The 27,844-nt window shown below is 52.4% G+C and overlaps 1 protein-coding gene and 1 non-coding gene across 18 annotated transcripts in view, besides 1 other annotated feature; both read left to right on the top strand.

Moving 5' to 3' along the window:
- Positions 1-27,844, top strand: part of ATP2B2 (ATPase plasma membrane Ca2+ transporting 2) — a 384,094-nt gene that overhangs the window by 287,207 nt on the left and 69,043 nt on the right. For all 17 annotated transcript variants that reach the window (NM_001438036.1, XM_017006484.3, XM_006713175.5 and 14 more), the window contains 3 exons: positions 10,095-10,292; positions 18,562-18,819; positions 19,832-19,957. In NM_001438036.1, the coding sequence (NP_001424965.1) occupies positions 10,095-10,292; positions 18,562-18,819; positions 19,832-19,957 (582 nt within the window). The remainder of the gene's footprint in view (positions 1-10,094; positions 10,293-18,561; positions 18,820-19,831; positions 19,958-27,844) is intronic.
- Positions 25,217-25,813: an enhancer, noted in NCBI's record as "OCT4-NANOG-H3K27ac-H3K4me1 hESC enhancer chr3:10436781-10437377 (GRCh37/hg19 assembly coordinates)". NCBI's record gives its function as "activates a minimal SCP1, AML or CMV promoter by ChIP-STARR-seq in primed H9 embryonic stem cells {active_cell/tissue: H9 hESC(primed)}" and the evidence as "EXISTENCE:reporter gene assay evidence [ECO:0000049][PMID:30033119]".
- Positions 26,348-26,421, top strand: MIR885 (microRNA 885). Its single transcript, NR_030614.1, has one exon. It is a non-coding gene; the product is annotated as a microRNA 885 (primary transcript).

Raw genomic sequence — 27,844 nt, 5'->3', positions numbered from 1 at the left:
CCCAATTCAACTAGAATCTCTAGTTTGGGGCTTAGGCATTCATATTTTTTAAAGCTCCCTGGTGCCTCCAGTGTACAACCAAGTTAGGAACTAGTGCCTTGGAGAAAGCTCAGTGATAGCAACAACAATAGCAGCTAATATTAGTCAAGGCCTTCCCATGTGCCAGGTGCCCAGATGCGACCTCGTTTAACTCTGTATGGCAGGCACTATCATTATTCTCAGGCTGCACGTGAAAAAACCAAGGCCCAGGCCGGGCGTGGTGGCTCATACCTGTAATCCCAGCACTTTGGGAGGCCAAGGCGGGTGGATCACCTGAGGTCAGGAGTTCTAGACCAGCATGGCCAACATGGTGAAACCCCATCTCAACTAAAAATACAAAAATTAGCCAGGCATGGTGGCAGGCACCTGTAACCCCAGCTACTCGGGGGGCCGAGGCAGGAGAATCACTTGAAGCCGGGAGGCGGAGGTTGCAGTGAGCCAAGATCACACCATCGCACTCCAGCCTGGAGGACAAGAGCGAGACTTCGTCTCAAAAAAAAAAAAAAAAAGTGAAACCAAGACACAGAGAGGGGAAGTTACCCGCCCAAGGTCACAGAGCTGGAAGGAGTCTCTAGTGAGGCCCAGACCTAGATCCGCTGTCCCATTTCATTGCTTTGTCTTGAAGCGGTATGGCTTCCCACAGTCCCAGCAGTGATGCCTGTGCAAGCTACCCACTCTGTCTGACCTCTGACAGGATATGAAGCACGTGGTGCCCTCCCCCACTCAGCCTGTGCCACACACCTTTGTGTGCCCGCGTCTGCACACTGACTCAGCCACATCCTCGGGCACGCATGCATGCACTGACAGCCTCTCACAGGCACTAAGGCCCATGCCTGCCTTCTGGGTGCCTCTCAGGCTACATTTTAAATATACGAAGCAGGGCCACGAGGTCACCCTTGTGGTTTTTCCCCAGAAAGCACTCACCATTCGTTTTATCTGAAATTTCCTGAGCACCCCATTGTCGCAGGGATCAAGCTGGAGTGAATCAGCATTCACATTGGCTTCACCAGATAGGGTCACTGTGGGGCATTTGCAGAAAGACACAGCCTACCCCCAACTAGATCAGGCTGGAACAGGGCAGGGTGGCCGCTGAGCTCTGTGGCAAGAGGCCTGGCTCGGCTGCCTTCCCAGCAGAAGAACCCTGTGCCTCAGTGTGTGCATCTGCATAATGGGTGCTCAACATAGAGCAACTTTACCATCTACAAAGCACTGTCAGAGCCTTGGTTCTGTGTGATCCTCAAGTGAGACAGCCCAAGGCCCCTCGGAGAGGCTGAGTGATCCACTCAAGGTCACATAGGAAGGAAAGGTAGATGCCAACCAGGTCTCCCGATCTAGGTAGGGGCATGTTATGGCTGTGGTGGTGTTCTGTGACACAAGCTAAGACAGCGGCAACACAGACAGAAATTCCTGCAATGCATATTCCAGGCCCAGAGTAACATTAGTGGTGTACGGTGGTGGTAGTGACAGCTGCATCTATCCTTTGTGAAGGCCAGTATATGCCAAGCACTATTTCCACACATCATATTCCCAATCCTCTGTCAACCCCAGACTGCAGGGGATGCCAGAGACAGGGCTTTTTTCCCACAGAGGCATTGTCTGTCTGTCCCAAGTCCATTAAGTGGCTCTTACAGGGGGCACGTGGCCACCCGTGGTGGGAGGGGCTTCTGGACAACCTCAGCACACACATCCCCATCTCTGGTCCCCAGAAAGGCAGGAGGGGAGGGAGGTTTCTTGAGGGACTGCTGTGTGCTGGTGCACATTTATTCCCATTTCACAGAGGTGAACACTGTGGCTCTGAGAAGGGAAATGATTTGCCCAAGTCACCAGCACTGAACCAAAGAGCTGCTGGGATTTGAACCCAGGGCTGAGGTTACCCATTAGCCTGCTGCTGTCACACACCATGCAGCTCATCCCAGCTGATGGCCCCCGGCCCTGCAGACAAGGCGCCCAGCTCCCAGCCCCCCACTCCTGGAAACAGTTCTGCCCTCGACTGAATTCCACCCCCTCACTGCTACCCCGGTGGCCTGGGTGACTCTGGGGGAGCAATCTGTTTTCACACTAGCTCTGAGCAGTGGATGGAGAGTTTGGGGGACGTGATTATTGTTGGGTTTTTTTCTTGAAATCATTTGCTGAGGCTGCAGGCAGGTCCGCTCAGCCAGACAGTGCCCCTGAATATCAGCCAGCCTCAGAGGGCAGTTAGTGTATTCCTGCTCTCACCAGGGGCGAAAACAATCTCTGGGGTCACTTTGCTGGAAATAAAGACGTGCAGCCCCATGGGGCCTCAGAACAGGGGAGAAGAGGTCAGTGGTCACCTGGATGGCCTGGAAAACTCACCTTGAGTCCCTCCCAGTTGGGCTCTACTTTTGATACAGCCCAGCCTCTCAGTGTGAGGTGCCCCACACATGGGAAGAGCAGAACCCTGCCCTGCCCTCAAGTACAGCACTAGAGCAGAAAGTAAGCCATATGTTAAATGTCTGCATTCCTTCATCTCGCCCCTTCATTCTGACCTCTAACCCAGCCCCTGCTCCTTTACCTACCTCAATAGCCTTTTCTTTATTCTGATTAATTAACCATGTTCCACTTTATAAGTAGCTTATAAAAGTTGTCTCATACAAAATGACTTTAAATGCCCTAAGTTAGGAAATCCAGACAAAGAGAGGAGAGGAGAAATAGGATGGAGATTTGACAGCTCGATGCATGCTGCTGAGTCCTCTGGTGTAGCTCACAGAGGTGAACTGCGTATTCAGTACTGAGCTACCAAGCAGGCAAGGGGAAGATGGCAAAAAGATGAGTTACAAGAGCCAGAGTCTCCATTAGAGAACACTCTCACTCTCACCCCAAAGGCCTGTGTAAGCCTGACCCCATGTGGCATGCTATAAATTCAGTTTCTATTCCCAGCCTTTCCTGGCCACTGGGGACAAAGGGTACAATAGATGTGTCCTCTTCCTTGAGGACCATCTGACCCCTCTTCTGAGGAGCAAACCAGGAATGCTTCAGCCACTCTAGCCTTTCCCAAGACCTTTGGAGTTTCTCTTGCCTTTTCACAGCCCTTCTCCCCACCCATATCCCTTCATCTGATCAACCCTCACTCCTTCCAAGCTCACCCAATTACAACTACACTTCTGCCAGGCGATCCTTCCTGACACTCCTGTCTTCCTTACAGTAGTGTCCCCAACATATAGAACAAAGTCTGGCTTATAGTAGGTGCTCAATCAAAATTCGGTGATTGATTGAATGAGTAAATGAATGACTGGATGTGCACTATTTAGTATGACCCTAGGTACCTTTTCTAGCTTCAGAGGGCCTGAGAAGGGTGGGGGAACTCAGACCTCCTTAAGATAGGAGGATCTTGAGTCTTGAGTGGGGCCTGGCATCTGGTGCAGGACACCCATTGTGGGCCGTCCAGCTTCTGTGTAAACATGCTCCCTCCCTCCTTCCCAGAATAATCCATCCATCCTCAGCTCACCCATTAGAAAGTCCTTCCCTCTCATAGTGAGGAGCGCCTCTGCCCGGCTGCTGCACCATCTGGGATATGAGGAGCCCCTCTGCCCAGCCCCTGCCACTGTCTGGGAAGTGAGGAGCACCTCTGCTCGGCCCCCACACTCTCTGGGAAGTGAGGAGTCCCTCTGCCCGGCCGCCCCACTGTCTGGGAAATTAGAAGCGCCTCTGCCCAGCTTTTGCCCCCTCTGGGAAGTGAGGAGTCCCTCTGCCTGGCCACCGCCCCATCTGGGAAGTGAGGGGTCCCTCTGCCCGGCCACCCACCTTCTGGGAAATGAGGAGCCCCTCTGCCCGCCCCCCCCCGCCGCCGTCTGGGAAGTGAGGAGCACCTCTGCCTGGCTGCCGCCCTATCTGGGAAGTGAGGAGCCCCTCTGCCTGGCCACTCACCATCTGGGAAGTGAGGAGCCGCTCTGCCCCGCCACCCACCATCTGGGAAGTGAGAAGTGCCTCTGCCCGGCTGCCGCCCCATCTGGGAAGTGAGGAGCGCCTCTGCCTGGCCGCTGTGCAACTCTCCAAGTGTGAAATCACAGCCTTTTGTGTGATCTTTCTGCCCTCCCCGTTTGCATTTTCGACATTAAAGTTTACTTTCTAATTAAAAAAAAAAAAAAGAAAAAGAAAAAGAAAGTCCTTCCCTCTCATAAAGCCAGAGGCCCCTCCTTGTACCTCTTCCTCCAGGTCGCCAGCTCTGTGCTCTGGGGCCAAAGCACAGGCTCCCTTTGCCCCCAAGAGAACCACTGTCCCTCGAGCTTTGCTTAACAGAGCTGAGGTGGGGCTGGAGTTTGTCAGACGGCTCTCAAACATGAGTTCCAACTCTAATAGGTCTGGGCACATGCCCTTGGTGAGCTAGATGTCAAGATTTCTATATGGGAATTGACTTTTTAATGTTTGTAACAAATTTCCATTTTTTTAAAAACACCGGGCAGACCAAATGAAACCTCTTTAATGGCCTGAGACTGCAGTTTGCAGGAGCCAGAATTGGCTAAAAAGAGAGAGGAAGGTACCCCAAGCAAAGGAATGGGAATGGCCAGGGCAGAGGTTTAGAGGCTGGGGAAGAGCCCAGTTTGTATCCAGGACAGCTGGATACAGATGCACTTTGAGGCCAAGGCTCCTCAAATACCCACTGACAGCAAGCAGCCGTGACAGCAGGGAGTTCCTATACAGCCAGTCCCTCACTTTGCGCCGTGGCTGTCTTCTTTTACATACATGGTAGGACACACAGATTCTGCCCACAGTTGAAAAATCTGGGAGAGTGTTGGAGTGTTTTTTTACCTTCACAGTAAAAGTGCATGCCTTTACAGTTTAGAGAGCTTCACACACATTCTTCTGTGCTTGGGTTTCCCCAGCCTAGAGGTTATTTTGTTCCCATTTTATGAATGAGAAAACTGAGTCTCCGAGGGGTGAAACTGGCCCAAGCTCACTCACAAGTCAGTGGTAGAACAAAGACCAAAACCTGGCTCCTCCTCTAGTGCTCTGACCTCTGCTTATAATTACACAGAAAGAAAATTGACATTTGAAAGCCTACAACCCCACATAGCATCTGTCTGGACATTTGTGTTTCTGAATTTTCAGGGCCTCGCTGCCTTTGTCCGGTAATCTTTGACACACTGTATTAATTTTTAATATGCGAAATGGTGAGATGCTCTCTAATCTAAATTGAATCTCGAACGCCATTCATCTCTCACACCAGCCTCTGTTGTTTCTGCTCCCAAAAATATGTGTGTTAATTTTCAGCAGAAAGGAAAGGAGACCACAAGATTCAGCTCCTGGGAAGGGCATGACAGGTAGGCTGGACCAGGCAAGCTGTTCCACCTGCAGGTCCTCAAAACCCCTGTCTTTGGATACCAAGTACCAGAGCCACCAGCCCTAGCCTTCCACCAGACCAATCCTTCATGTCACATGTGGGGAAACTGAGGCCCAGAGAAGAGAAGTGGCTTGTCTGCAGTCACAAGGCCCTTCCACTGTGCCTCTCCTCACCTTGACTGACCCCTTCCTATCTTGTCAAAATCCTGCCAGTTCAAAGTCTTCCTCTCCAGAACGTCTGGCTTAATCTCCCACCTGGCCTAAAAACTGGGCGGTAATAATGACACAGTACATCTACCCGGTGCCAGGCACAGCACTACACTCCTTACGTGAGACATCGTGTTGAAGCCTCACCCTAACCCTGTAAAATAGACACTGCTGTTGCCTGCAAAAGGAGAAATGAAGGCAGTGAGAGGTGAAGCACTTAACCAAGGTCACCCAGAGCTGGGATTTGAACGCAGGCCATCCAAGTTCAAACCCCACCTGTGTTCTTGGGGCTTGGTTTCCTCAGCTCCGGCTTGGCTGTTCTTCCACTGAGAAGAGGGGAGTGAGCGAGACGTCATGACCACCTCCACCTTCTCAGAGGCCCCATGTGAGCCTCAGTGCCCAGGGTTCCCACCTTGGACTTTGATTCTGGGATGCTCGTAGTGGAAACTGCCATGGGAACAGTCCTAGCAGAGCACACAAATGTGTTTATGCCCTGAGTTGTTATTTCTGAAGAACAGAGGGCCTCTCGGAAGTCTGTGGGGAGTGGGCAAGGGCGGGGGCTGGGGAAGGAGCTGCCTGGAAGAGGGAGGGAGGGACAGAGAAGCTGCTCTGTGCCGACCCCTCACCCTTCCAGCCACATCGCCCTGTCCCAATCCATAGCCTTGGGGGTCTCAAACTAGCAACTTAGGGGCTGAATCCAGCCCACAGATATGTTGTTCTTGGCCCTGGCATGTTTTTAATGGGGAGATTTTACATCAAATTCCAGATGTCCAGCTTCTCTTAGAAGATTGGAAGATCTGCCACACTGGGCCCACATTCCCCCACAGGAGCTGAGAAGCAGCTGTCCTCTTCAGAAGGGCCAAGGTTCTTCAGTTTGCTCCAGTTTCTACCACTCCCTAATGTCTCCCACTCACCTACTTCACTCATTCACAAAACCCACCCAACCCCCACACCTATTCAAATTTGCAGCCCCTGCTCTGTCTGCTGTCCTGGGACTCAGGATCTCAATGCCTGGCCTGTGGATTCCCAGCATGACAGAGCCCCAGCATGATATGGCCTGACTTCCAAAATGGAACACCCACATTATCAACTATTTACACTGTGGACTCCGGAACTTCTGAATCGCAGAACTCAGAAGGTTCAGAGACTCCCCCTCTCTTGGAATCAATCAGGCAGGGCCCAGAAGTTTGGCTGGCCTCACCTACTTTTTCTTGGCAAAAACCTTAATTTGCACCAAATCTTATGAGGAGCTCCAAAATGTGAAAACAGACCCCAGGAAAACCATTTCAGGGCCTGCAGACCTCAGATCCCCTGGGATTCTCAGGACCTACCCATCTTATTGAACACTCCCATTGTTGAAATGGGGAAACTGTAGCTCAGAGAAGGGAATTGGCTGGCCAAAGCCACAGCAAACTGCCATAACAGGCCAGTGTTGGCTGGTCATAGCCCCTCCCTCAGAGGCCCACGGCCCTCTTGAACTCTCCCTTCTCCCTTGTCAAAACTCATTCCCAGGAAAAAGCCTGAATGAAACTCATTCACACCATGGCATCCAGAACTGATGATGGCTTCCCCTCCCAGAAAGTCTAAAGGAATTGGAGCTTTTAATTAAAGGAATAAAGGTCAAGTAGAGGAATTCCAGGTGTTGGCTATGGGTAGAATTGGACAAAAGGAGGAAGACAGGGAAGCTTCCTGCGGTTCCTGGAATCGTGCTACAGTGTGCCGTGCCTGCACGCTCTGTACATGGATCTCCCAGATGGCCAGCCCAGCACAGAACAGTGGAGGAAGTGTTCCCACGCACTTAGATCAAGGCTACCCTGGGCTCTCAGGGCCTAGGAGCTGCCCCACAGCAGCAGCTTGGTCTCAGGGCAGCCTGTCTCCCCATCTGTGAAATGAGCCTAACCTGGCTCTGGGTTCATTCGTTCTCACTGCATGCAGGACATGGGATCCCAAGAGCTTGCCTGCACCAACAAGCAGGCTGGCGTGAGGTCTCCTAGGGAGGGAGCCATCCCTGGGCTCCCCCAGTGGGAGTGTCTCAGCCAGCCTGGCCCTTGGAGGCTCCTGATGGAGATCTCATGGTCAGCATCTGAGGAGACTCCGCATCTAGAACCCAAGACAGACTCCCAAACCACAGGCTGCTGGACTCCCGGAACCACTGAGCTCTGACATCCACGGGCAGCCAGGTCTGTTGCATGCACATCACACTCCCCAGAACCTGGCACCAGGCTAGGCCCACAGTGGGGGCTCCAGGAATGCAAACTGAATGAATGAATGGGTGAAGAGGCAATGAACAACAGACTGTTAGAACCCTAAAACCATATATTAGACCATGAGGTCCCATCAGCCACATGGTCCAGTCCTGCAACCCCAGTGTGCTGCTAGTGCTGTTCACAGGAGTAGACTGAAGGCCATAGGTTTGATGAGGGGTGTGTGCCCCTCCCTGTCCACCCCCATCTGTCCTCACTAAGACACAAGAAGAGCTAGGGTTTGCTGGGTCAATGACAGGACTGTCGTTGCCCCGCTGCGGGGCCCATTTTTGCTGTACTGTTTGGGCCAGGCTGCACACCTCGGGCCAGGCTCGTAACACTCGGACCTGCATTTAGTGGGTGGGACAATTGTAAGGCTTCAGGTGCCAGGCCCTGAGGGACAGGAATCAGACTGGTCTTTGTCCCCAAGGTCCACGGCCCAAGTAGGACAGGGGTCTGGGGAAGTGGTAAGCCTGCTGCGGGGAAGACTGTGGCAAGTAAAGGCAGAGGGCCACTGTCCTCCTGGGGTGGAGGGGAGGCTGCTCAGCCCTTGAGAGGGGCTCACAGTGCTGAGTGGAGGAAAGGCTGTTCCCGGTTTGCTGAACAGCAGGAGCAAAGGCCTGGGGGTGTGACAGGACACTTGTCATGGAAAAATAAAGTGGCACACCAGCTACTTGGGGCGACATGGGGCAGCTTGAAAGGAAGGCTGAAGCAAGGAGAAGCACCGGCCTCTGAGGGGCACAGCAGACAGTGGACAGAGGGAGTCTTCCCCACCAGAGCCACGCACCTCCTGGTCACACGCCTGAATTTCCTCCATGAGAGGTTCACCCTTCCAGGCCCCTCTTCCAAGGTACAAATACACCTGGGGTTTGTCAACTGTGGGTCATCCATACCCCAGTACCAGGGAGTTTAGGAGGGGATGTATAGACAGGCAAACAGTGGCCAGTGCCAGAGCAGGGAAGGGCACAGCATGGGCACAGTGTGGCAGGAGGAAGGCAAAGTGCTGGCCTGGCTCTGCTGGGTGGAAGCCACATGGCAAAAGCCAAGGCTGCAGACACAGGTTGCGGGTCAGAAGAGAGGGCCAGGGTGCCAGGCTGGGAAACACGGGCTTTATTCCAAAGACAGTGAGCAGCCTCCCAAGGCCTTTGAGCAGGTGCGTGAGAGTGGACTTGCAAGTCTGGAAGAATTATCTGGAAATGCAGATGGTGGGTGGAAGTGGGCCCTTACCACTCTGTCCGGTCCCCACATGATGAGGGGTGCACCTGGCTACACCTCACTCCCTTGTCCAGAAGAGGAGAAAGTACCAGTGTCAGCTGCATGTCCACCAGGCACGCTCCGAGCACGTTGCAAGGCATCCACGGTGAGGGCCACTCCTAAGTGGGCACTCTTCTGTCTGGTGAGCTGCTCTGTTCCAGTGTCTGCAACAGTGCCAGGCACTTGGTAGGTGCTCAATAAATGCTCATGGACCACATGAATCACCTCATGTGATATTCACAACCACCCATGGGTTAAGTACAATCACCATCCGCATTACAGTAGAGGGTACTGAGGCTCAGAGAGCGAGGGCCATCACGCTGGGATTTTAATCCAGGCAGTGGCTTCTGATTCTTCTCTAACCACTGCGCGGCATTCGACAGGAGGGAGAGCGGAAGGAGGGTACCAGCGCAAGGCGGCTGTAGGAGTGTGGATTCGCTTCCCATGGCTGCCACAGCAAATGACCACAGACTGATTGTGGCTTAAAACAAGGGAATTTTATTCTCTCATGACTCGAGGCCAGAGGTCAGAAATCAGGTGTCAGCAGGGCCACCTCCCTCTGAAGACCAGGGAACAATCCTTCCTTGCCTCTTCCAGCGTCTGGTGCCCCCAGACATTTCCTGGCTTATGGCTGCATCACTCCAAACTCTGCCTCTGTTTTTGCGTGGCCATCATCCTTCTGTGTCTGTGTCTCTTGTAAGGACACCTGTCATTGCATTTAGGGCCCAGACAGATAATCCTGGATGCTCTCATCGTGATATCCTTAACTTAAGTACAACAACAGGACTATTTTCCCAAATGAGGTCACATTCACAGGTTCCGGGGATCATGATGTGGATATATATTTTGGAGGCTGCCATTCAACCCACTGCACGGTGTCTCTGGCTTTTGGCAGGAACCAACTTAGGGCCCAAAGCATGAAGAGATGTTGGGCTCCTGGGCCAGCCACCAGCAAGTTTCTTGCTCTGTTTCTCCTTTTCTGCCCCTAGATTCCCAGAACATGCCTGCATCTCTCCCAGGCCCCCAGCCAACCTCTCTGTTCTCTGTCCACAGGTTTGCCGGGCACCGCTCCAGACCTGGAAAAGAGAAAGCAAATTTTTGGGCAAAACTTTATACCTCCAAAGAAGCCAAAAACCTTCCTGCAGCTCGTGTGGGAGGCGCTGCAGGACGTGACGCTCATCATCCTGGAGATTGCCGCCATCATCTCCCTGGGGCTGTCCTTCTACCACCCGCCCGGCGAGGGCAACGAAGGTAAGATGGGCCTCAGACCCACGAACCGCCCCGCACACCTGGCCACCGCATCCACGCTGGGGGGCACTCACGGCTCACACAAATAATCCTCTCCTCCCAGGGGAAGAAACCGAGGTCCAAGGGGCAGGGCCCCACCCATAGCCAACACAGCCAAAGGGTGGCCGAGCCAGGCCTCAGCCCCGTTTTCCCTGTGTGAAATGCACAAGGGTTGGACTGGTGACAGTAATCACTTTAGTGAGCATTTTTGAGCACTTACAGTGTGCTAAGCCCTGGGCTGAGATGTCGCCCTGACAACCCCCTGAGGTAGCTGCCATGGTAATGCCCATTTTAAAGATGAGGAAACCCTGGGTTCAGTATATACTGCTTGGGTGATGGGTGTACCAAATTCCCACAAATCACCACTAAAGAACTTACTCATGTAACTAAGTACCACCTGTTCCCCAAAAACCTATGGAAATAAAAAATATAAAAAAAAGATGAGGAAACCAAGGCACAGAAAAGGGGGTTAATCTGCTCGAGGTCACCAGCTAATAAAGAGTCCTCAGATTTTGCTGTGGAGCCTTTTGAAAACATCGTTGTCAGGCCCCATCCTAAGAGAGCCTGGTTCTTTCTCTCCAGAGTCCAGGGATGGCTGGATTTTAATAAGCACACAGGTGAGGGCGACCCTGACATCTGTGCAGGCTGATCTGTTTTATAATCTGCTTTTTCAGTCAGTAGGATATTGTAAATACTTTTTTGTGATTCATTGTGATTCAACATTTCCTAATGAATGTGCTGCATAAATAGATAACCCTACTACACCTTCAGACAAGCAAATTAAAAGTTAATAGCACATAAGAAATAACATTATGGGCCTCATTTTCCCTAAATAAGAAGGTGGTCTCTGAGGTCCCTTGAATATCTGTTGTCCTGCCCCCTCCCAAGCCAAAGTTGCCCAAGAAACTGAATAACCAAGTCTATTAGGCCAACTACCTCAATTTTACACATAATAAGTTGATTTCTTACATGACCTCTTCCCATAGAGGGTTTAAAGACACAAGAGATACATCTCACAGGATGCGGTCAAACAGAAAGCCAGCCAGAAAAGGAATGGAAGCAAAGAAACCAGCTGTAATTGCTGCCATGATTGAGATTTAAATCTGACTTGAGGTTCCTGGCAGCCAAGACAGAAAGGGAATTAGGGTGATTTGCTGGAATATACTAAAGAGTACTGAATTTAAAAAATAATAATAATAAAACAAAAATTTTAAAATGAAAAATAAAATTAAAAACTAAAAGGTAGATTTGCATAGCTCAAATTATCAACAAGGAGGAAAAATATTTAGGAAGATGACATTTCTCTTTACGAGAATTCTGGGATCAACTTTCACATAGGACATTATAAGAAATGCACAATAGGCAGCCTTCTTTGAAGAAGTTTTATACCAAATATGAAAGAAGGTAGTACATGACGACTTGAATAAGCCTTGAACAAAGCTAAGAGTGTAACACAAATGCATAATGATAATACTTCTTACTATTTTTATAGCTACCACTAGTTGGGAGCTATTATGATAGAAGTCCATTTAATTATCAGTCCTCACAACAACCCTATAGATAGGTGCTATTATTATCCACGAAACCAAGGCCCTGAGACAGCAAATCGCTTGCTAAGGGCACACAGCTAGAAAGTAGCAAAACCATGACTCAGACCAAAGCATTCTGGCTCCTCGGTCCTGTCCCTCAGCTGCGTTTCCTCAGAGAGGGACAGGACTGAATCAGCTCGGATACATGGCCTCATGCAACCCAATTCAGTACAAGATTAGAACTCAGATAGCAGGTGGTGGAGGGGGTGGAGGGGTAACATGGACCGAGCGCCTCATGTGTGCCAGGAGGAGCTTCTCACCCTCTAGACAGATGGCTGCGATGTTCCATCTTAGAGATTCAGAAACCAAGGCCCAGAGAGGGGAAGGACTTGCCTGCGGTCACAAAGCTACGTTAGACTGTAGGGCAGGATTTTCAACCCGAGTCTGTCTGGCCCTTTCCAAGGCTCTTCCCTGCCTCTGGCTGGGGCACTAGCTCAGGCCGCCCCTGGTCCAAGGCAGCTTCACACAGTCCAGCTTCACTGGGATCAAAAGTTCTTGGGCTTTGTGACCATCCTAACTCCTTCTCCGGAAGCCCACGCCCTGGCCTGAGATCTGAGCTCTGGGCCTTCCATGTTTCCAGGGCTCCTGTGCCCCAAGTCAGGCTGGGGCTCCATCAATCCCCAGCCACCAAGTGCAAAAACAAACAAACAAACAAACAAAAAACCCTGAGACAGACATCAGTTTCACCAGGGAAGTTGACAGGGACAGTTATGTGGCCTTCTTGGCTCCCTTCTCCCTGCACACAGCCTTCCAGAGACTGGGGCCCAGCTGTGACTGAGCACCCAGCACACGTGGCACTTTATGTCCGGGTTCTCAGTGAACCCTCACACCCATTTCACAGACCAGGAACTTTCGGTCAAAGATCCCCAACAGGGCCCTCCCTGAGCAGCCAGTGTTGAAATTGTGCCATTGCTATGGTGCTAGTGAGTTTTGTTTGAAATCATGAAATGCACCCAATTTCTTTTTGACAACAGCTGCCACATCTTGGAAGGCACCAGAGTCCAGTGATCAGAGCCTAGGCACAGGGCCTGGATCTGCCTGTCTGGCCCTGGACCCAGGCCGGCCCTCCATGTGCTCAGCTTCAGTGTCTTCATCCATAAAAGGGGGTGAATGATAGCACTTGCCCTGTGGAGATCTTGTGATGATTGAAGGAAATAATGCAAAGCGCTTATCATGGAGCCCTGAGCAAACCTCAGGAAGCAGGTGTCACTCCCCACGTGGCCGATCGCTCCTGGTTTCTGGAAAAGTGGCCACGTTCAACACCCCACAATTCTAGTATCCTCTACAGCAACGCAGGGGTGGACAGTGTGAGCATATTAGAGCCACAGGTTCCAAAGCCCCAGCACCTGTCACTCTTGCCTCCAGCCCCTGCCATGTTGAGTCCTCAGAGGTCCACTGCCCGCCTCCGCCCCAGGTCTAAAGATCCAGGAGTTAAGGCCTGAGCCAGGCAGAGAGCCTTGCTTCTGAGAGGGCGGGCAGCCCTGTGCACAGAACAGACTCAGGAAGTTCTACAGAAGGAGCAACGCCGGCCCTGTCAGCAGAAGGAAGGAAGGAGGGAGCGCAGGCCAGAGGGAAGGAGGAAAAGGAAAGGAAGAAGGAAGGCAGGGAGGGACTTATTTATAACCTGGCACCCATAGGAAAGATGGACGACTTCCACCACCGGCTTCACCAGATCCCTGGTGCTCACATTGTGTTTGAACTCATTCAGTTTTATTTATCACTTGCCATTTTCTTAAGTGCCTTGGAATGGACATCCTCAGCCCTGAGCTCTGATGCTAGCCAGGTACACAGCATCCCCACCCCCACCCCATCTGGCAGGTGAGGGAACTGGAGCTCCAAGAGGGGAGGGTGGGGACTCACCCAGAGTTGTGGCCTAGGACCCCAAGTCAGGCCTCAGGCTTCCCGCACTGGGGAGAAACTCAAGAGCCAGGGATGAAAGACCCGCAACTGGACTCCTTCCAGGGTCAGGTCTGGGGGCAGGCAAGAAATACAACATGGTGGCAGCACTACAGGGCTGACCACCCCCACCAGAAGACACGTCTTCCCGAGAGGGAGGCCTGCTCTTAGCAGATGACAAAGCAGGGGCTCGGGACCCAGTGGGATGTGGGTTCAAATCCAGGCTCAGCAACTCCCAGCAAGTGACTGCCCCTGCCCAGGCCTTACCTTCTCCCTCTGTAAGACAGGGCTGGTCAGTGGCAATGTTGATGGGTGGAATTAGAGTCACACACGCAATGAGTGTATGAGTTTCTCACTGTGCCTGGCCCATTGTAGATGGTTAGTAGATACAGTCATGTGTCGCTTAACGACAGGGACATGTCATGTTCTAAGGCAATTTCATCATCATACCAACATTGTAGAGTGTGCTTACACATACCTAGATGGCACAGCCCGCTACATACCTGAGCTGTATGGTGCAGCCCGTTGCTCCTAGGCTACACACCTACACAGCATGTGACCAGACTGAATCCTGTAGGTAGCTGTAACACAATGGTATTTGTGTATCTAAACATAGAGAAGGTACAGTAGAAATGCAGTATTATAATATTATGAGACCACTGCGGTAAATGCAGTCTGTCACTGACAGAAACGGCCTTGCATGGCTCATGACTATGTTTGCTGAGTGACCACAGGGACCTTGTCCAGCCGTGACACTGTTGCTATCTGTACACAGTGTCTAGTTTTACCTAATGCCTAACTCCTGGGGCTCTGCCCCACACTTCATCTCATTCTTTTCCCTAAAACCACTGGGCCAAGCTGGGCCAGCCTGGGCTGGATGCCCCCTGATGAACAGGAGTGAGGGGGTATAAAAGCATCCCCAAACTTAAAGCCAGGAGCCCTCGTTTGAGTCCTGGCTATATCACTTCCTGGTGTGTAACCTTGGGAAGGTCTTATCTCATACTCATCACTGAGAAAGCAGTTGGGGCAGGGCTATGGGTGCTGCAGAACTCTGCAGCCTGTTAGTCCTCTACCAACATCATTTTGTACATGAAGGATTACCTGGCTCAGAGACCTCTAGGCACTTGTCCTAGGTCACACAGCATGTTCATGGCAGGGCTAGGATTGGCACACTCAGTGCCCCTAACCCCCTGCTGGTGACAGCTCCCCCAGTGCCAGAGTGCCAAAAGAGTGATAGGCACATAGTAGGTGTTTAGAAAATGTTTATGGCTCAACCAGTTTTGAGGATCTTTGTTGGATACCAGGCCCTGGTAGCCATCTGGGAGGCAGGTTCACCATTGTACTGGTGAACATGCAGACAGGCCCGAAGAGGCCAAGCGGATTCCCCAAGCTTACACAGACAGGGAGAGGCCACACCCTCTATAGCCGCAGGTCCAGGAAGAGCAGTTGCAGTTCCCTGGACCCTATGGCCACTGTCTCCAGATCCTGTCCCTGCCCCAGTCCAAGGGAGCCCCAGAGGAGACCTCAGCAGGACCCACCCACTCCCCTCTTCCCTCCCCTTCCTATTCTCTTCTCCCTAATTGCTCCAGGGGCAGCAGGAGTTGTTCCTAGGGTCGGACAGCTTCCAGGTGGCCGAATCCCTACCCCAGCGATCTGCACTCCCACTTTCTAGTCATCCCTTGGCACCGCGTGACGAGCAGACAGTTCTCTGGAGACAATAGCTAATCGGCTTTTGCTGGCAGAGTGAGTGCCCTCCAAGGCCCAGAGGGTTCCTTGGTATTGAGTCAGCAAGGGCAGCAGGTAGGGCTGGGAGTTGGAATAGGGTGCATATCCCACTCAGTCACTGTGCCCTTGGCTTTCAGAGGCCAGTCCAAGGAAAAAAGCTCATGAAAAGGGGAGAGGTCTAACTTTTACCATGTATCTATCATGTGCCAGGCCCTTAGCTCACAAATCCGTTGGGTTATCCCACTTCACAGCTGTCTAATCTGAGGCTCAGAGAGGCCAAGTCACTTACCTAAAGTCACACAGCAGAGGTTGGACTTGAACTAGGTCTTTCCGATTCCAGAACCCGAAAGCTTGTCATTGCTCTAAGTGTCCAAATGCTCCAGTAACTGCTCTAATGGGGGCCCCATTGAGGAAGCACACAGCAGGGGAAATAACAGCCTTCCCATTTCCAGAGCACATAGCAAGGGGCAGGGGATAACAAAAGTCTTGTAAAATGCAGCATGGGGCTCTGTAATCCCACTCCTTCCCCCTCCATGCCTCTAAGCCCCAAGAAAATGCGTTTCCATATACTGGGTTTCTGTTTAGCAAGGTTCACCTGTGTCTCCCAGTCTTTGGAGTCTCTATTGGTGTCATTCATGGTGGTACAGGAGGCACCGTTCACCATTTCCTCTCCTCCCGTCATCATATGTCACTCAAATCCAGCAGGAGCTCCTTCTGTAATGTGGGCCTCAGGGCTTCATAAAGCCAGGCTGTGGAACTTGAATGCAATAATGCTCACCCACACACTGGAAAGTAAGAATCACCAGCTTTAACTGAGCATTTACTGTGTGCTCACTGCAGTGGGTGTTTTACCCGAAGGCTCTCTCTTAATCCTCTCAACCACCTTATGAGAGAGCACCTGCCATTTTGCAGATGAGAAAAACCAAAACAAGGCAGGCACAGTGGTTACATAGCAAGTTCATGGGCACACAGCAGTTAGCGCAGCTGGGATTCAAACTTGGTTACCATTAGGACAGCTATGATTACCATTACTCCAAGGCTGGTCCTGCTAAACAGTTTAAAATTACTGGAAGTCTGAAACTCCCAAGATGGGGAGAAAGGTGGCTTTGGGAACCCCACATGATGGCATTGTTTACTGGCCCGAAGGGAACGGCTGGTTCAGTGCAAGACCTGGAATTTTCCAGGGGTGCATGCAGCTGGGCCACAGTGATTCCAGACCTGGAATTTTCCAGGGGTGCATGCAGCTGGGCCACAGTGATTCCATATCTCCCCAGGCTTGGGCCCCACCCTTCCAGGAGCCCAATGCCCATAAACATTCCTTGAGTGTCACTTGGACTTCTTGTCATGTTGCTTCTGACCCCTGGCTTTCCAGAAGCTTCCACTGGGGTCTCTTGAAGCTTCTGTTCTCTGTTCCTTGAGACAGACTGGATTTCCAGATGCTCAGCCATGAATCTTTGGCAAACACATGGCAGAGGGGGCTGCTAGGCTCAGGGAGAGTGAACAGGCCAGGTCTGGTGTCAGATCCCAGATCTGGATCCAAACCCCATTATCTGCCATGTGACCCCAGGTGAGTCTCTGCTTCTCTCTGAACAGGTACCCTTCTCTCAGCCAGCTTGAGGGTTAAAGTGGATGCTGGGTGCACAGCAGGCCTTGCAGGGTATCCAGTGCCCCACCTGGCCCCCGTGGAGGGGAACTGCTCTGAGTTTTGCAGGAAGGATGATCCGATGCTGCTGGAGATTCCTTTCCATGGAAATGGCCGCTCCCCAGGTCCCAGAGGAAATGAAGGCCTGGGTGCGTCCTGGCTGTGGCACCTCACCTCCTGGGCCTCCACCTCTTGCTCTCAGGACCCTTGTGGGGATGAGAGAGGGGCGTGGAAGGGCCTTAGGCCCAGCACTGCATGAGTAGGATCTGCCTTTGGGTCTGATGCCTTCAGATCAGATGTGCCTAGGTTCTTCCTTTTCTGTTCACCCCGTGGGCCTGGCAGACCTCGAGAGTTTTTGGGGCCTAGACTGGGAGGCTCAGTGGTGCAACGGTTGGGATGCAGGGTCACTGTAAGTCAGACAAGCGGCCTGCAGCTCAAGCCTCAGTGTCCTCACTGTGGAGGGCGGCTCACTCCTCAGCTGACGTCTGACAAGGACGGAGTTAGAGAACCTCCTGTGTGCTGAGCTCTGGCCAGGAGCTTCCACCTTCCTCTCCCTGAGTCCTGGAAGGTGGTCTCAGTGATCCCTATTTTGCAGATGAGGCCACTGAAGCCGGGGAAGGGCAATGACTTACCCAAAATCATGCAGAGGCAGCAGCAGGATTAGAACCAGCTCATCTTCCCAACCTGCCTGGGCAATGTAATGAGACTCCAACAGAAGAAGAGGACAGCGGCAAACTGCCTTTTCAGACCCTAAAGCAAGTGTAATATTGGCTGCCTTTGTTCTGGAAAAAAAGAAAAATACCTCACTTACTCTCTTTTCTCATGAATTAGAGAAAATTCCTTGTCTTTTCTCATCAATTAGAGAAAATTCTCTTTTCTCTCCTCTGTGCCTTGTCTGTGCTGTAGAGTCTGTGAACTTTACCACATTAAATTTCAACTCTGACAATAGGTCCCCGAGATAGAGAATATTCTTACCCAGATGAGAAAAAATGAGTTTCAGAAAGGGAGTCATTTGCCCAAGATCTCACAGCTAGAACCAAGGCAGAAAACTGAAGGGGCTAAGATGGTGGGCTCTGAAGCCAGACTGCCTGGGTTCACATTCCAGCTTCCTACTTGCCCTTCATTGCTTGGGCAAGTCACCTGACCTCTCTGAGAAACCTCAGCTTCCACATCTGTGAAATGGGCAGCGGGAATACCCTGTGAGATGATCTGCGTGAAGCACTTTCCACAGGGCTTGGTACCCAGACACACTGAGTAAGTGGATAATTATCATCTGATTCTTAACACTTGTTACTTTGCAGAGCTGAGCTGTAAATCCAGGCCCATGAGGCCTCTCCTGTCTGGTTGACCTCACTCTGCCTGCTTCTATCTGGTCTTTCAGGATGTGCGACGGCCCAGGGTGGGGCAGAGGATGAAGGAGAGGCAGAGGCAGGTTGGATCGAGGGGGCCGCCATTCTCCTCTCAGTTATCTGTGTGGTCCTGGTCACGGCCTTCAATGACTGGAGCAAAGAGAAACAGTTCCGGGGCCTGCAGAGCCGCATCGAGCAGGAACAGAAATTTACCGTGGTCCGGGCTGGCCAGGTGGTCCAGATCCCTGTGGCTGAGATCGTGGTTGGGGACATAGCCCAGGTCAAATATGGTAAGTGTCCCAGCCACAGAGCCAGGTTCTAAAGCTGGATTCCGGCAGAGGTGGGACAGGCCAGGCTGATGCAAAGAGATTGGCTCAAGGAAGGGGATGCATTCCTGAAGGCTGATCCCAAACCAAGATGTCTTCTGAGATCCTTTAGGAGGTGGAAGGGTACTTCCTGGAGGGGGTACAATCCCAGAATCCATTTAAATCAGAAATGACAAGTACATGGCACATGTGCTACCACTCTCCAAACTTCCACCCATAGCAGACATTACTAATCAGTCACAGCTCAGAGCCTGGATACAGCCGCAGAAGCCTTCTCAGCACAGCACTCCAACAATCACTAATACTCAGAATGGGTTTATTAGATGAAACCTATTTCCCATCCCTGATTTGACTGTTAATGGATGCTTGTTGGGCTAGAGGAGATGTTAGAAAGTGTGTAGGTGGATAAGTGAATATTCTGGGCCTGTGCTACTGCCATGGAGAAAACGGGCAGGCTGGCACCAAAGGGAGTTTGAGCCAGATATGTCCTAGGTAAGGTGAGGCAGAAGGTAGGGGAGAGATTGGAGTGCCCCTCCTCACTCTGCCCTAAAAGGCACACATCCCCTTGACGATGTGACTTGGTTGCGGTCTTCTAAACCTAGCCAAGAGAGACTGGTTCCTTCCAAAATATTTCCCCTAAACCATAACTGAGACTACAGAAGAACGAATTGTTGGGAGACCTGCACTCCAAGTTCAGGCGAGGTCAAGAGAAACACTTTGTAAAGTACATGCCCACTTGAGCGAGGGTTGCAGGGCCCCAACCTCAGCCCTCCAGGCCTTGTGCTGTGTACCTTAGCTCCAGTGTTGAGCTGTACATGGGCCTTCTATGGGCACCATCTTGGTTCCTACACCCTGGGAGCTCTAGGCATTCTGTCCCTGATGGCAAACCTTCCCTGGTAATCGCACCTTTAAGGGAATGTTCCAGCCCTCTAGTCACCTGAGAGCCTGCTGACTCCCCTGCCCTTCCTCTTGCCAGGTGACCTCCTCCCTGCCGACGGCCTCTTCATCCAGGGCAATGACCTCAAGATTGATGAAAGCTCCCTAACTGGAGAGTCTGACCAGGTGCGCAAGTCCGTGGACAAGGACCCCATGCTGCTGTCAGGTGAGCTTCAGCCTGATGTTGGGCCCATTCCCGTCGCCATGCACAGGGGATGCCTGTGTGTCCCCTTCATGAGGCTGAAGGGACTCAGAGACTTTGATCCTTGGCTCTGGTATCTCCAGCCAGCTCAGCCCCAAGTGAGAACTCCCTTCCTTTTCTCTCACAAACACACATTGAGCCTACTGTGCACTCAGCAACCCCAGCCCTGGGGAGACTGCGGCGAATAAAATAGACAAAGCATCCCTGCCCTCATGGCATTGGCCTTCTAGTGACTTGGTTTACTAAAAAGCTGAACACCGAAGCCCACTCTCATCAGAGATGAGAAAGAATCAGTCAGGTGATAAGCATTCTGGCCACCAGCTGTGTGCCAGGTACTGGGCCCGGCACTAAGGCTGCAGCAGTGAGTGAGGCAGGGAAGGCCCAGCCCTGAGGAGCTTGTGGCGGAGTGAGGAGCAGGGAGGCGATGTGAAAATTCCTGAGCAGAGAAGTGTGTGAAGAAAACAAACAGGGCAAAGGTGTGCTGAGTGTGGGTGATGAGGAGGAGCTGGCCTTGTGACTATCTGAGGAAGAACACACCAGGCAGAGGAAACAGCAGGGGCAAAAGCCCAGAAGCAGGACTGGCTGGAGGCTGCAGTGAAATAGAGAGAGTGGAGAGGCCACAGGTCAGGCCTCATGGGCCATGGTCAGCATTTGGAAATTACTCCCAGTGTGATGAGGATTCTCTGAAACGGTTTTAAGCAGTGAGCTGATCATGTTTACATTTTTACAAGCTCACTCAGCTACAGGGGCAGAGAAGAGGTGGGGAAACCCTGCAGGGGTGAGACACTAGCCAGGTGAGGCCCCTTTTCACAGGGACGCCCAAAAGGCCTTATTGTCCAGCAGTGCTCAGCAAACACCCTCTGCAAAGCTACTCTGGGTGCTCAGGCCAAGTGCTGGGACTATCTCCACCCCCAACCCACCAGTGATTCAGGCCCAGCCCCTGCCCATGGGAGCCCCTAGCCTGAATGTCCTTGGGGATTCAGGCCTACCAACAGCTAATCCCACAGTAGACGTGTGAGGAAGGTGTTGTGAGAAAGCCAAGGAAGGAGCAGAGCTCCCTGGAGGAGGTGGCGTTGAGCTGGGTTTTGAAGGATGAATAGGAGCTTTCCAAGTCCAATTGTAGAGAACGGGCCCTCCTAGCAGAGGGAACCATGTACAAAGGCACAGAGGTCTGAAGGAGTGTGCAATGTCCTGGAAATACAAACAGGTCTGCAGGACAGGATGGTAGGAGTGAGAATAGAGGTGGGGGCATTTATTTATCCAGCATTTATTCAACCAACAATTGTTAAGCACATACTGTGTGCCACTGGTTAAGGAAACAAACAAGGTCCCTGCTGTCCTGGAGCTTAGAATTTAGTAAAGGAGAGAACCAATAAAGTAATAAGCAAGCAAATATGCAAGGTAACTTCAGATAATGGTAAGTCAGATGAAGATGTTCCACCATTGTAGTGAGGTATAGAGACCTGCAGGAAAGGCACAGGAATCTGAGTTCATCAGGGAAGCCCTGTCTGAAAAGGTTGCATTTGACCTAAAATCAGAACAGTGAGAAGAAAAAAGTATTCCAGGCAGAGAGATAGCAAGTGCAAAGCCCCCGGGGTCTCACTGAGAGACCGTGGAATGCCCCAAATGACCTCTTAGAACATAGGGCCACATGAGATTTCAATAAATTGTTACAGCCCTGTGGCCCTGGTCCTGCCCTCCGGGATGAAGTGGTTGACAGACAGAGCATCCTTGGGGGCAGTGGCCAGGTATGTCCTCTGGATATGTGGAAGCCCGGGGCAGGCATGGGCCTAAGAAGATGGAAACTTCAGACAGTTTGGGGAAGAGGGAAAAGGGGAGGATGCTGGCAGGAAGCTGGAGAGAGAATGTTCAGAATCACTGGCCTGACAGCATCACAAACCAGCCAAGGAGGAGGGCACAGGTGCAGAGAGACCCTGGAAAAGATACGACGGGCAGAGATGGATGGGAAGCCAACCAGCCAGCCTGGAGTGAGTCATAGGGTGGCCGGGTCTCGGAGCAGGGGCAGGAGGGCCCAGAGGGAACAGAGGTGCCAAAAATAAGACGATGCTGAAGGCAGAGGATGGGAGCAGGAGATTTCAGGACAAGAAGCATAAGGGGAGAGTGAGGAGGTGCTTTGGGGAGCTTGGGGAGCTCTCTGGCTGTGTGTGCCAACTCTCTGTCAAGAAGCCTCAAAACTTGGAGAGGCCGGTGTGTCTCCAGGGAGGCCAGAAGTCCCAGGAGACCAAGAGATCCTCCAGGAGAGCTGAGGCCTGCAGGCCCTTGGAGACTCAGAAGGGAGCTCACCCCTTAGTGGGGAAGGACAAGGGGACTGGGGACAGACAGAAGGCATTCCATGTCTCAGCAGGGATCCCAGTGAGTCCCGTGAAGCCTGGGCTGCTGGGGTCAGCATTGGTTTTGGCAGGATTCCCAGTCATCTTGGAATGGTGGCCTGTGAGCACTGAGATGAGAAAGGGGTGACTGCAAAAAGCCACTACAGGCCCTCTGAGCCCAAGCTGAACCAGCGGCCTTGGTCTCCATCTGGCTGGAAGCCTGGGTTGATGGAAGACGCCTGGGGCGTCTAGATGTCAGGAGACATCAGCCAAGGTCTCCAGGATGTCCTTGTGGGCAGGAAGGAGAGGGGCATGCGGGAACCTGGAGATCTCAGTGGGTTCGTGCTGGTTCTTGGGTCGCTGGTAATCTGGTGGATGGTTTCTAGTGGCCTTCCCTGGAGCTCTATCCTGTTGCAATGTGCAAAGTGTTCCCATCAGTCTCTCAGAGCCCACAAGCACAAGGGAGTGGCAAAAAGAAAGCAAGTGTCAGGATCCAGAAAGATGATCACAGGACACAGGATGAACCAGATGGAAGAAAGTGAAGCTCCTTGGCAAGCCTGAAGCCCTGGCATCAGAAATGCAATTGCGTGGGAGTCAGCAGGGCAAAGGAGTGTGGCTCAGCTCAAACTCATAGGGAGAAAGTGATAAAGGGGCATAGCTGGCTCCATAGAAAGCAGTATAATTGGAAAGAGAATTCTGTAACAGTTGGGACCATTATCAGACAAAAGAGGCTGCCTGTAAGAGAGTGAGTTCCCCGTCACCGACTGTCTATGAGCAGGATGTAGACAGGCTGCAGGTGGGGATGTTGGAGGGTGACCTACTGAATGGGCACCGCATTCAGCGCCCCTCCCAGCCCTGAGAGTACATTCACCATGCCCTGTCTGCCACTCTGCCCCCACCATCTACTGATCCACCTTGTCTTGCTCCCTTCAATCTGCCTCTGCTGAGGCTGTCCTCTCTTCCCAGTCTCATTTCTTCCTCTTTGCCCACTTAACTTTTTTCCATCTGCTCAAGCCCCACCTCCTCCATGAAGGCTTCCCTGACCACCACTGCCCTGTGGCAGTCACCCCCTGACCACCTGGGACCCACTTTTAGCCTGTGACACTCCACTTTGTGCTTGACCCAAACAGACACAGCCTCGTCATGGTGTTTGAGTTTTGCACTGCACAAACCATCTCAAATAAAATGAAGAACAAAATTTGTCGACCATCCCACCACCCAACCGGATCTCACTGGTCTCACTTTTATAGGCCCTGCTGTCCTTGGCCACATGCAGATAGACGACACTACTATGTAGTGTCATTTCTGCAACAATCCTCTTGCCCACGCAGGTCTGAGCAGCCGGGAGCTCTGAACTGGAAGCTCTCAGGAGGTTGTGCCCAGCTCACCCCTGGGCCCTGCAGACCTTAGGCTCTGTCCTCCAGAGGCAGTGGGGAGAAGCTGAGCAGAGTGTCAGGCTGAGCTGAACAGGACCTGAGCTCTCAAGCGAACTTGCTGTGTGGCCTCAGGCACATGGCTTCACTTCTCTGAGCCCATTTCCCTGGGAGGACAATAGGAGTGTCATTCATGATATGATGTAAGTGGATCCCCTAGCACAGTGCTGCACAGGGAGGCTCAACATAAGTTGGTTCCCTTCCCCATTCCTTGGGTGAGGCCTGGACTTGGGGGTGAAACAGACTGGGTTCCAATCCCAACTCTACTCCTTAGCCAGGGACCCCCAACAAGCTTCCCCCCCTTTCTGATTATAGCCCCAGCTCATGAGGTTGTGTTGAAATCTGGAACCTCCAGAAATGTCCATTTCGCCCTCTCATCCTTCATCTCAAATGTCTCCCCTTTCCCACCTCTCTGGGCTACCCCCTTCCTCTTCATCATCCAACTCCTCCCTACCTTCAGCCTGCAGCAGCCTGCCTCCCCCAGGGGGTGTTCCTTGATTAGTTTCTTCCCCAGTGTTCTGAACTCCCTGCATAACAGCCATTTGGATGCTCATTTTTATGCACAACCAGACACCATGGGCCCTTTACATCAGCGGGGAGGCCTTGCTGGGCCTTCCAGTCTGATGATCCTTGAGGAACAACACAGAGAGACCAGGCTGGGGGCATTTGTGGTGTCGTTATGGTGGTTGAGAAAGCCCTAGTGTCATCTCATGCACTGTTTCAGCTTAGAAGAGGGCAGGAAACACTCCGCTCTGGTCAGTTGGTCCAACCATGCTTGGCCTGTGACCCTGGACAGGTCCCTTCACCTCTCTGAGCCTCTGTGTCTGTGTCAGTGCAATGGGGAAGCTGGTGAGGCCTCCACTGCCTGCCCCACAGGGCTGTTGTGGGGACCACAGGCATGCACACGTGTGACTGTCCTTTGCAAACAAACCCTGCGGTTGTGAGGTGCTGTATGGTGTGGAAGGAATGTGGCATCTGGAGGCAGAATGCCCAGGTTCCAGCCCTCCAACAGCTCCCACTGTGGCCTCTGCCCCTCAGAACCTCAGTTTCCCCATCTGACAAGTGAGGGCAGACCAGCCTTCAGAAAGACTCAAATGACCTCAACACTCAGGGCACCAAGGAAATCATCAAAACCAGGCAGGTTTCCCCTACCTTCCTACCCTCCAGGGACGGACAGGCAGACACGAGCCCATGTCTGGTGTATCTTCAAACGGGACAGAGTAAAAATATTCAGAAATTGCAAACTCATATGTCTGCAGGGCCAGGTAGGGAGAGCACAGGTGCCAAACCCAAACCACAGCTGCTTCCTGTTGCTGCCTGCAGAAGCGCCAGCCCAATCTGACCTCAGTGCTCACTTTGCAAGAGGAGCCAGAAATCCAGATTTCCCTGTACCAGCTCTCAATGTTTAAGTATTGGCAAGAAATTCCCACATTTTAAGGTCCCTATGGGTCAAGCCACATATGGGTGGGACCTAGAGTGCAAACTCTGACCTAGGCCTATTTTTTAGCTTTGTATTTTAAGATAATTTCAAACTTTCAGAAAAGTTGCAAGGATGGCACAAAGAATACGGGCATGCCCTTCACTCTGATTCGGCTGTTGCTAACCTTTTGCCGTCTTTGCTCTCTGACAAATCTCACTCTCCTCCTCATCATGCAGATGTGATGGCCTTCTCCCGCTAGACACTGCAGGTGTGTCTCCCAAGAGCAAGGGTATTCTCATGCATAACCACAACACAGCCATCAATTCAGGAAACTTGACATTGATTCGGTACTGTTACCTGCTGTGCCATCCATATTCACATTCTGCCAATTGTGCCTGCAGCGTTCTCCAGGCCAGGATCCATGTGGGGTCCTGCATGCCACTTGGATGTCCTGCCTCTTTGGTCTCCTGCATGGAGCAGCGCCTCATCTTTTCATTGTCTTCATGGAAAGCCAGTGTTTTTTAAACCCTCCTAGGTCATGAACTTCCGTGAGAGTTCCACTAAAGCAGTGACCCCTCTTATAAGGAACAGATGCCCAGACTCCTCATCTTGCAACATTTCAGGGGATTCAATGATCCCTAGAGGACCCTGGTCCTATCCCAATTTGCAGCTGGGGAAACTGAGACCCAGAGCAGAAGTGTAAGGCCCCACAGAGGGCAGGGGCAGGGCGGAAGCCAGACCCCAGCTCTGGGCTCTTCCTGTAGCCCCCATGCAGGAGCCTGCCTCCTTGTAGTAACTTCCACTGGGAAATGCAGGACTAGACTAGATGCCATCAATGTGGCAGTGGAAGGGGCTGGAGCCAGGGGGCCAGGATGGCGGGGCTGTCTTCAAAAAACAGCAAGGCCTGGCTCCAGCAGGCCCGATGGCTCAACCCCCGCGAGACCCCGACACACCCTCCTCCCTTCCCCCTGCCAGCCAGAGCACTAACAGCATGAGGTCATGCAGGACATCGGTAAACCCTCTTGGGACTCTGCCCACATCCCAGGACCTGCTGCCCACCCCACCAAGCAGAAGGCCAGGCATGGGAGAGCCGGACCTGCCACCACTGCCACCGTCTCCAGGGAGCCTAGGACGACACCGTGACTGCAGAAGGCCCAGTCTGCTACTCGGCCCGCACTCTCTCCATTACACTACCCTGCCTCTTCTCCATGAGAGGCAGCGGGGTGTAGTGGATAGAGCACGGGTTCAAGTCCCGGCTCCACCACTCACAGCTGTGTGACCCTGGGCCATCACTCAAGCTCTCTGAGCCAGAAAGTGGTGGGTGGAGGGGCTGGGGATTGAACTTGCGCCAAAACCTACCTCAGGGGGCTGTTGTGAGGGGGACACTTTGCCTACTGCCTCGTGCTCTGTGAGCGTGTGTTATTAACTGCATTAATAACAATAATAATGGAAGGACTGTGTCTGGGCTGGGAATCGTTTTGGCTTTGTTTAGTGCTTGTGCCTGGAGGCAGATAATAGCCCCCAGAAATAGCCTCCATCCCTTCTTCACAGCCTCTCCCCACTGAAGGAACCCTTTTAGAAGAGATGAACTCTCCCCTCTCCCTATCCAGGGAGAGGCCTAAAAGGTCACACGCAAGAGATCAAGGAACCCTAGGTCCAGCCCCTACTGTCCTACACCCTCTGCAACTTCAGTCATTCGCCTTATCTGGGCTCAGAAACCCCATTTTGTAAAAGGAGGCTTCCCAGTTCTGCTACCTATGGCTCAGCATACCCCACAAGCCACAGCAGAAGGCTTTGACTCCGAGACTGCCACCATCTAGACCAGCTCAGGGCAAGGGAAAGCCACCTCCTGCTGTTCAGGACAGGCCCAAGGCCAGGATGGGCTTTGAGCCTGCAGCTGGGAAGGTCCTGGCCACTCTCTGCTGCCAGGTCAGAGACCAAGGAACATCCCCTCCACAGGACCAGGACAGGACAGAAGCTTGGGCAGGACAGGACAGACAGTACCATCCACGGAAACCACAGTGTTCCCTGAGCCTGGGCTCCCATTTCCTCCCACTCATGGGATAGCTGGCAGCTCCCCACCACGCTCTGGCCCCCCTTTCTCTCCTTGGGGCTGCCCCAGACAGCTCTCCCACCAACTTTGTCCACAAGGTGGAAAAAGCACAAGATTGGAGCCACAGACCAGCTCCCATCCCAGCTCTGCCTTCCTGGGCTGAATGCAGAGGTGACCCCCTGAGCTGATGCCCTATCTGTGAAATGGGGTGAGGCTGACCACCTCACAGACTGTGACAGCTGAGCGAAAAGTGGCTCAGATGGAACTTGGCACATCATGAATGCTCAAAAGATATTCTCTTCCTTCCTCCCCCTCCACCCAAAAATACTCTCAGCGGCTTCCTATTGAACACCAAGCAAAGACTCCACTCTGTCACCCTCCACTCAGGCACCTTCTCCCTTCGTGGGCGCTGAGCTTTGGCCCGGCCCGCCCGCTACCATCACACTGGACCACCTCCCACCTTTGCCTGGCTGTGTCCCTTCCGGCCCGCCATGTCCTTGGCTTGGTTTTGTCTTGCATTGCTCTGGATCTGTGTGCCTATCTGCTCTCCTTGACCCCAGCTAGACTGTGAGCTCCTGGAGGGCAGGGACCACAGGGGGACCTCTCTCAGACCCG

The sequence above is a fragment of the Homo sapiens genome, chromosome 3 (genome assembly GCF_000001405.40).
Source record: "Homo sapiens chromosome 3, GRCh38.p14 Primary Assembly".
NCBI classification, from domain to species: Eukaryota; Metazoa; Chordata; class Mammalia; order Primates; family Hominidae; genus Homo; species Homo sapiens.
Note: the sequence above shows the minus strand (reverse complement) of the source record. Positions and strands in the feature narration are given on the sequence as shown.